This window comes from Homo sapiens, chromosome 18, assembly GCF_000001405.40.
Source record: "Homo sapiens chromosome 18, GRCh38.p14 Primary Assembly".
Lineage (NCBI taxonomy): Eukaryota > Metazoa > Chordata > Mammalia > Primates > Hominidae > Homo > Homo sapiens.
The window spans coordinates 38,568,337-38,578,021 of NC_000018.10; the positions used below are offsets into that span (position 1 = coordinate 38,568,337).

Here is a 9,685-nt window from a genome sequence, read left to right on the forward strand (position 1 = left end):
GAAATATAACTCAGATCTAGGTTGTAATTCACTATCATCCAGCCCACTTTATACATGAGACTTTTCTAATGTATATTAATACCCAAGATCATTCAGCTATGTAAAAAAGTATTAACAGCTTAGACTTATATTGAGATTATGTGCCAGATAATAGTCTTAGAATTTTACCATGTAATTATCATAACACTGTTATGAAATAGATACTGACATTATCGGTATTTTTATGTATGAGGAAAGAGACACAGAAGAGTTAAGTAGCGTTCCCAAGGTCACACAGCTTCTAATTGCCAGCGCTCAGAGACAAACCTGGACCACCTGGCTCTAGAGTCTCTGTTTTACAATGGCTTCACTACTTCTCAAAATGAAAATTAATGTCATAATTAGCTACATTATCATACTCATTTTCAGTATAGTTTTCTTTAGGAAAGAATTTGTAAAAGCTAAATTAAGTCAGCTTTCAAATAACCTGTAAATTGAATTCCTTGGTTGATAAGCTAACCTTTCCAGAGCAATTGAGATAAATTCAGTTTATTACCCCTTACTGCATTTTCTCATCCTCAAATCATCTATTTTATTTATTTATTTTTTTCATCTGTTTTATTTTGTAAAATATTGCCTTAATTTTTTTTGTAAAATTTTCTTAGGCTTCTTGCCTTCATCAGTGTCTCCTGGTATATATTCTAGAGGTGGGGATTAATTTCTACATTAGCCTACACAAATCATAACCTAGGTGATAAACAAATAAAAGGGTGCATGTGATTAAATTTCAAAATGATCAGCACAATAAGAGACTTTCCTCTTCAGAAACAGAAGAGGTGACATAATCTGGTGTTCCTTAAGGATGCTTCCTGGTGAAATCCAGACTTACACAGAATCCTGAAAGATAGATAGTATCTAGAATTGAGAAGAGAGAACATGCTGGATTTAGAGAACTGATCCAAGGTGTGCAGATCCTTCTTCCTGGATATTCATGTGACACCAGGGCTGCAGAAGCTGAGATTGGCTGCTGAAAAGCAGTGGATGACTGTAATCTATACTCTCTGCCTCCTTCTCTGAACACCTATTTCTCTCCACAACACAATCTAGAGTTGTATCATGCATGTTCTTCTTATCCACAGTTGGCTTGCATTTTAGCCCCAACAATGCTGTTAACCTACCCCCAGGCCTAGTTGTCAAAATTAACATAAATAAATGAGTCTTGGGCCACAGGAATTAGAGCTCCTTGGCACACTGAACAAAGCAAGGTAGTGATTCTTTTGAATTTGTTCTGGGCATAGGCAGTAGGAATGGTGAATCCATCCTTCTTGGATTGCTCATATAGGCAATCAAAGCCCACATCTTTAAATGCTGAGACAACTGGATAACTGCAGTAGGTGGAAGCTGAAGAAGTATAGAATGCGTAAGAGGAAATGCTGTGTTTTCTCTATTACCAAGAGGCCTTGAACCATCTTGAAGAGGGATCCACATATCAGATGATTTTTCCGAAACATTTCGATGATGTGTTGGTGTTTCTGGTGGTCCATTGTTTTCCATATTATCCCTTGATTTCGACCAAGGTCTTTTTAGATACTCTGGGTGCTGGGAGTAATAAATTTGACAGCTTAATTTATTATAATAATTTATGTGTTTAATCTTTCTTTTTAAATGAGCCCTGTGGCTCTGCAACTGGTACATACAGTATTTATAAATACGATTAATATAGTGTCCACTTTCTGGAGCGGGATCAAACAAAACGAGAAAAATAATACTAAGTCAACTAAAAGCAGCTGGCTGGACTCTGCATTCAGCTATTTGTGAGCAATTGGGGTTTTGTTGCCCTTATTTAGTGGATGTGTGGAGTAGGTCTGTGAAGCTGAAGGGACCTTTGAGTTTCAGTTGGCCCAGGTCTGCATTTTTAGATAGGTGTATGTCTATCCAAGAGGAATGCTCTAGAGCTCCAGCTATGCAGATAACGTAAACACTTTAGCTAGAACTGACATTTCTTTAGCTGCCAAAGCTATATTTTGTACTTCATACCTTTATGGGAATGAGTGAGCACCGTGGTGGGTTAATGGAATTACTTATGCATTATTGTCCTTACTTTTGAGATGCTTGAAATTTAGAATGTAAAACGTGGTAGGAACAGAATGTCTACTCCCCTGTATGGCCAAAACCCAACAGGATAAAATAGCAATATTGGTTGTGTCCAGAAGGACTGGTAAAGTCATTTTACATGCTGAAAGGACTATAGACGCTATCCTGCAGAAGAAGGCAAACAGCAGGTGAGGAAGAGCACTTATCAACTGTCTGTTTTGGTACAGTGTAAATAAAGCTCAAGACCCTGTTCAACCAGCATCCCAAGTATGGATAGGCTTTTTTTTTTTTTTTTTTTTTTTTTTTTGGCTTGAACCGGAAACATCTATTTCAAAATTACCTGGGTCAAAACAAGCTAAAAATGACCTGGGTTAATAACCCCATAAAGAGTACAGGGACCATTCTGTGACAGGTCAGGGAAAATATGGAAAGAACAGAAGAAGGAGGGAGAAAAGGTAGCATGAGAGCCAGGGAAATAACACTCTTTATCTTCATCAATCTGATTTCCTATAACATCTGGTCATCTTCAAGGGAGAAAACGTCACAGAAAGCCTTGAAGTGTGTATAATCAAATGTCAACATGAAGCTAATGCTTCACAAGTGTATTTAATAGATAAAAAGAACACTTATAATGCCATCATGGACGACCATGAAAAGCATATTAGTAGCCTTGCAGAAATATAAATAAAAATACATAAATAACAAACAACATTTTATGAACAGCTAACACTGATATTTGTTAAGCAGATCAACCTACTTCAAAAATAAAGAAAGCTCTACACTTAATAGTTGGATTCTTTAGAAAGAAGATACATGGTTTCCACCTATAGATATAAATAATGAGAGTTGTAATAAATTACTAACACTGACTAGTTTAAAAGGCAGGTAGCACTTACTTTTCTTGACCAGTGAGCTTTCCACTACATCACAATGATGAGCTAATAAGACCTGCAGGGGTAATTTAATGAGACAAGAATAATTTGACCTGGCAAATGAAAAAGAGTGGCACAGACTTATAAGGGATACTGACTCATTTCCTATAAAATTATAAAGAAATGACCCTCCATTACAGTAAGAAAATTTTGACCAGATAGAAGGAAGTAGTTTCCGGAAGTGAGAATATACCATTAGCTTATGCCACAGAAACATATTTTATATAATGGAAATGGTTCTGCAATCGTCTATGTGGGGTAGTTAAATCTAATCTTGTCTAAAAATGAGGTAAAGAACTGGTTGATCTTGCAAGGTACTAACCAGCTCTGTGAGCTGGAAAAAATGGAAACATGTGACCTTCATGAAAATCCCTGTTTCTTTTCCTACTTCTCATTGGCAATGGGACCCTGGGGGACTGGGGCACATGTTGTTCCAGCAGAGGTCATGCTGATGACATTTCTATGGATTTTTCTCTTTCTCAAAGAATCAAAAATACAAGTGCTGGAAAAGACCTATTGCTCCCTTCTTCTGTTCCCCAGGGGCTTTACGGAATTGCTTCCAAAGTTCTTTCCTGCAATGTCCAGTCAGGTTTTAAATAAACCAAGACATGGAATATCCATCTGGGCCTCTGGAGAGATTTTTGTAACGTAATCCATCTTCTATTTAGGATATTTTTTTCTCAAAAAAAGTTCATTACAAAAGACAAACCATCCCATTCCTCTAATTGCCCCTGAATTGGTCACTAAATTCTTACTGCCACTAAAAGAACCTAATCATGTTGAAGGCTTTGTCAACTATCCAGGTGGCAAATAGAGTTTTGTGCATTTTGAATTTTCAACTATTGGATTCAGATGGCTTATTTGTCACCATTTCTCTCAGACATTTGGATTCCTACAACATAATAAATGCCAAATAGTCACTCTTGAGCTGCAACCTGCATGAAGTCTCTGAGGTAAGAGGGGAGATATGCTACACTTAGTGCCAACTCCATTCTCAGTTTTCAGGTAAATGCCAGACTGAAGATTCCACCTTTGTCCTGCCCATGGTAACTGCAGTTGTTGATGAAAACCTGTGTCTCTTGAAATAAATATTTTTTTATAAGTAAAAGGAACAAAATCAGTCCTTTAACTTCTTTGTGCTCAAATAAACCTACCTGATCAGCATGGCCAGTTTGGATGTCTGTGTGTGTGCCTATGTACTTATAGTCATATATAGTTATATATTTTGTTTCTTACTGAAGGAACGGTTGAATAGAACTATCTGGTTTAAAGGATGAGCTTGACTGATTACTGTAATTCATAGGGCCTTAATTAGCTGCACAAACCATTAGCTACAATTAGACTATTATAAAACACTTGATGCGCTATGTCAACCATGGGGCCTCATTTATTCTTGTGGCAGGGATCAGGAGGGGGAGGGCAGGCACACTATACCGCCAAGCATGCTAATAAAGAATCATTTTTGATTTAAGATGTTGCCGATAGTGCCTCAAAATTAATCTCAATAGCTGTCTAATTTGTGTCAGTGGATGGTATATTTATTGTAAAATGACACCAAAGCTAAATGAGTTACCTGAAGCAGGAGTGTTAATGTCAGTGCCTGGAGATTGGACTCCATATGCTGGGTTACAGCAAGACGCTGGTGCTGAGTGCTCCCAGTGGACGGCTTGGCCTCATCTGTCTCAGAAAGCTCAACAACTTGACTTCCACTTTTTGATTCTTAAATACTAATCATAAAAAAAAAGAGAAAGAAAGAGAGTGGAAAGAGAGACCCTGTCTGGAACACAAAGAGACAAAGAGAAGAGAGGTGAGAAAAGGAGAGAGGGAGAAAAGACTGAGAGGCATTGTTACAATATGAGCTTCCTAGGACCAAGCTTAGCTGTAAGTAATTATGGAAATGAAGATAGCTGAGTCCAATTTATCTTTCTGTAGGTTTTTTATTAAATAAGAAATAAAAGGGACATACTAGTAGGTAATAGTCTTCTAAGGAGTAAAAGTAAAGAAGAAAATATTATCTTTCATTCTAAGATGTCTTGATAGCAATACTTCACATTTACATAGAGCTCTGAAGCTTCAAACATCATTCAAGTTCATTGGAACTTCCCTGGAAGTGTGGGAGTCAGCAGTGGTTGATATAGAAGCTTTGATTCAAGGGAGGCAGGAGAAGTGCCTGGTCCAAGGTCTCTTGGTCAGTTACCTACAGTGGCGGGACTGAAATTCAGATTTCCTCAATTACAACTCTTTTCAAAATATATATTTTCAACATGGCTCCCATAACTGTCAAATCTTTAGAATTCTTGAGGAAGAAGAAGCAGGTGGAGGAGAAGAATGGCATTTCCTGACCTTGCCCACATTTTCTGTATCAGAAACTGGAACTGATGGTGAAGATGAGGAGTACCTATTTTCAAAATTCTCCCCAGATAACTGTGATGAGCAACCATATTTGGATATTTGATTCAGCAGTTCTGGAGTCAGAGACTTTGCATTTCTAATCAGTTTCCAGGTAATGCTCAAGATGCTGATGGCAGAATCACATTTTGAGAACCGCTGGCCTAAACCAATGTTTCTGAACACTGGTTGCACATTCAGATCACTTAGGAATATTTTAAAAATTCAATGTCTAGACTGTGACTTCATCCACTTACGTCAACTCTGGCGTGGGACTCCAGGTATCTGTGGCTTCTAAAGCTCCTCAAATTATTCTAGTGTGCAGCCAGGGTTAAGGATGTCTTTGTTCAAACCAGCTTTAGTGAATTCAATTCAATTGTCATCTGTTATGGGCAAGACATGTATTGATATACTCTATGTAGTGACTCATATTACAAATTAATACTTAAGCTTAATTACAGGATTTTTTAAATGTTATTTTTGCTGATTAACTATACTTTCTTTTGACAAAAAAATGAAATAATAGAACTCAAAATGCCAGCTCTAGTTGCTGAATTGGCCTTTTTGGTCAAAATAGTTTTTTTTTTTCTTATACTTTGATCAATTAGATACTTGTATTCAGATATCCCATGGGAATTTTTAAAATGTAGATTCACGTCTCAAACCATCTGAATCAGGATCTGTAGGGTTTGGCTCAAAAGTCTACATTTTAAGACATTCCTTTAATCACAATATTGGTTTATATGCCAATCAAATCAAGTTCTGAAAACATCTATTCTTTTTGTATATTAGAGATGCCTTTTATCTTTAATACCCCTTCACTATTTCCAGGAAAAGTTATCCCAAAATATGCTCCTTTTTGTGTGTGGACCTTATGAATAATAATAATAATAATCTGTGTAGACCTTATGAATAATGTAAACTGAAATTATCTGTTGGCCATATATTCCAGAATGTTTGTTGGGATTCGGTTAGCTGCAACATACATAATAACACAAACTCTAAAATATATAATAATTTAAAGATTATTTCTTGTAACTTTTTTTTTTTTTTTTAAGACAGAGTCCTGCTCTGTCGCCCAGGCTGGAGTACAGTGGTGTGATCTTGGCTCACTGCAACCTCCGCCTCCTGGGTTCAAGCAATTCTCCTGTCTCAGCCTCCCGAGTAGGTGGGACTACAGGCACCTGCCATCACACCAGGCTAATTTTTTGTGTTTTTAGTAGAGACAGGGTTTTACCTTGTTGGTCAGGCTGGTCTTGAACTCCTGATGTCAGGTGATCCACTCACCTCGGCCTCCCAACATGCTGGGATTATAGGCATGAGCCACCACACCCGGCCTCCTGCTGTCTTAATCGTTCAAGCAGGCGTTGCTAGTCAGCCTGAAGTTTTCCTCCATTGATGACTGAGTAACTGAGTTTCTTGACGGCTTGTGGTATCACCATCCCTCAGGGCTTCTCTATTAGCTTCACCCAGGCAGAGGGAGGGGCAAGAGAGCAAGGAGTGTGGTGGGACCACATCCAATACACACCTTGGCCCAGAAATAGCACCAACACCTCTGTGGCCGCAGTCAGCCACTTGTAGGATATCATATGCAGTTATAAAGAATGAGTCAAACACACTAAAAAAGACTGAGGCTAAAGAAATGAAGAGAAGAAACTCGGACATTATCTTTTTGACCTCTAGACAAAATCATGCCTGATGCTAGATTTACCTTCAAACTTCAAAATCATGTGAACCATTTTTTTTTAACACAAGCCAAGATGGGTACCTTTTCCATCATGAAAAGAATAATAAAATAAGAAATATTTAGTTTACCAGGAAGATGACATAGAATAGCAGTCAAAAATATAAAATAATAAATTATTTAACATTTCCTTTTTTTCTTATTTTGCTGCTAATATTGGTCTGTGCACATTATGGCAAACCTGTTGACTAAACAGTCAAGTTTCTCTGAAGTCTGTGTCAATGTAAAGTCAGCATTTCCTCTGCCTTTGGTGAGGTGCTGAAAAGAGAAACCACAAAGCTAAGATGAAGATGTGCTGAATCTCCTTGGATCTCACCTGCAGTTCTAGTCACAGTACTCAAAATAAACATGGTGTAACTAGGGAAGTTTTAAGAAAAGGGCATTGAGATGACTAAGGGGAGGTTGAGGCAGTCATTGCTTGATAATGACTGAGATGTGTAAGCCATGCTTAGACAGGACAGAGAAAGACGTGAAACAGGCAGTGTGTCTGGAGGCCATGCTTAACTGAAAGTGCTATATGCCCGACATCAAGCCAGGCACTTGAAGAAACACTGACTCTACCATGGCCCCTGGCCTTAAAAGCCCCACATTTCCTACAGAAGATGATTCTATGATGTGTCAGATTGCAGAGTTTGGGGACATTTGGACCTGCGTTTGAAATTTAGCTTTACTCTCTTTTGGTTACTAAACTTAAGCAAGTCACTTAACTGCCATGAGAAGAGATTTTTTTTTTAATCTGCAAAATGGGAATAACAATAAACTTGTCATATGGGCAATCTCATTAGTATTATAGACATTGATCCTTAAAATAGGATCAACATCTATTAATAAGAATAGCAGTAATCCTCAAAACTTGAGATCCAAGTTTATATAAAGTAGACACATTAAGAAATGTCGTGATGAACTGATGAAATGTGATATTCAAAATGAGGGATGTATTAGCCCATTTACACACTGCTATAAAGAACTGCCTGAGACTTGGTAACTTATGAAGAAAAGAAGTTTAATTGACTGACAGTTCTGCAAGCTGTACAGGAAACATGACTGGGAGGGTCAGGAAACTTACAATCATGGCAGAAGGTGAAAGGAAAACAAGCATGTCTCACCATGGTGAAGCAGGAGAGAGAGAAAGCAAGCAGGGAACTGCCACACACTTTTAAACCATCAGATCTCATGAGAACTGAGTTACTATCATGAGAACAGCAAGTGGGAAATCCACCCCCATGATCCAATCACCTCCCACCAGGCCCCTCCCTTGGCACTTAGGGATTACAATTCAACATGAGATTTGGGTGGGGACACACAGCCAAACCATATCAAGGGACAAGAGGACAGGCGAATATCAACATCAGTTTTAGCGTTATACAAATGGATGGGTTCTTCAGAAAAGCAATTTTTTTCTTAACACTTTAATGATGCTTCTGATAAAAGACACAATTCTGAGAATAATGGGTAATAGGGCTCATAAAAAGGAATTAAGATTTTTAATAATGCGTGGGTAAAACTTTGACATTTATGAAGTTTATTAAACTATATCCAGACCGCTTTTTCTCCAAGTTGTTTAAAAAAAAAAGTCTTTGCAGTAAGAGTAGACTGGTTTCTCTGATGTCTGTTAACCTCATTGTGTTCAGTGAACAGTCACGTGACCCTTAAGCAGGAAGCTGTTTCTACTAACCCAATTCACTTCACAGATATAGAGGGCCTGATCTGCTTCTTTTCTTTCTCTTCCCTCTGAATGTATTTTGGTACATCACATAAGTAGCATATGTTTATATAAGCTATTATACATATGAAATGTGTAATATGCATATTTTAACCTTCGTTTAATCTATATACTGAACAGTAGGAAAAATCACTGGAGTGCCACTCTGGGATTGGCAAACTGGCCTAGTTTTGGAGGATTTCTATGCTGAAGAATGGCAGGAGAGCTCCTTGCTCACACATCCTCTAAAGATATTTTTTATAAGGGTCTATAACAGTGGGTCAAAGAAATAAAGTAAATTGTTAGAAATCTATATTTGATTACCTTGGTGATCATAAAGAAGAGTGAATATCAGCCTGAGACACAGCACTGCTGCTTGAAGTGATTGGAAAGTATCCTTGAGAAGCTAATCCAAAGAAATCAAAACTAGAAAGGATTTTAGAGGTTATTAGTTTGCTACTCTATCGTAAAACTGAGTAAAGTAAGGCTTAGAATACTGAGAGAATGTAAGCCTCAGTTTCCTCAGTGGTAAAACAATAACACCATTATGAAGTCAGTGATGATCTGTAATGGCAAAGTGATGACACCTTAGTTTCTATACAGTATACCGGAAGAAATTTCCAGATCTCCTTTTTCTTCTCTTTTTCTTTCTCTTTTTTCTCTTTCTCTGTCTCTCTCTCTCTCTTTTTTTTTTTTTTTTTTTGACAGAGCGTCACTCTGTCACCCAGGCTGGTGTGCAGCGGTGCAATCTCAGCTCACTACAACCTCTGCTTCCTGGGTTCAAGCTATTCTTATGCCTCAGCCTCCCAAATAGCAGGGACTGCAGATGTCCGCCACCACGCCTGA

The 9,685-nt window shown here is 37.9% G+C and overlaps 1 long non-coding RNA gene across 1 annotated transcript; it reads right to left on the bottom strand.

Moving 5' to 3' along the window:
• Positions 1-4,922: 4,922 nt before the first annotated feature.
• On the bottom strand, positions 4,923-9,334 carry LOC112268212 (uncharacterized). Its single transcript, XR_002958210.1, has 3 exons — positions 9,164-9,334; positions 6,631-7,395; positions 4,923-5,776 (listed from the first exon to the last, which is right to left on the bottom strand). It is a non-coding gene; the product is annotated as an uncharacterized LOC112268212 (long non-coding RNA).
• Between the last annotated feature and the right edge of the window lie 351 nt (positions 9,335-9,685).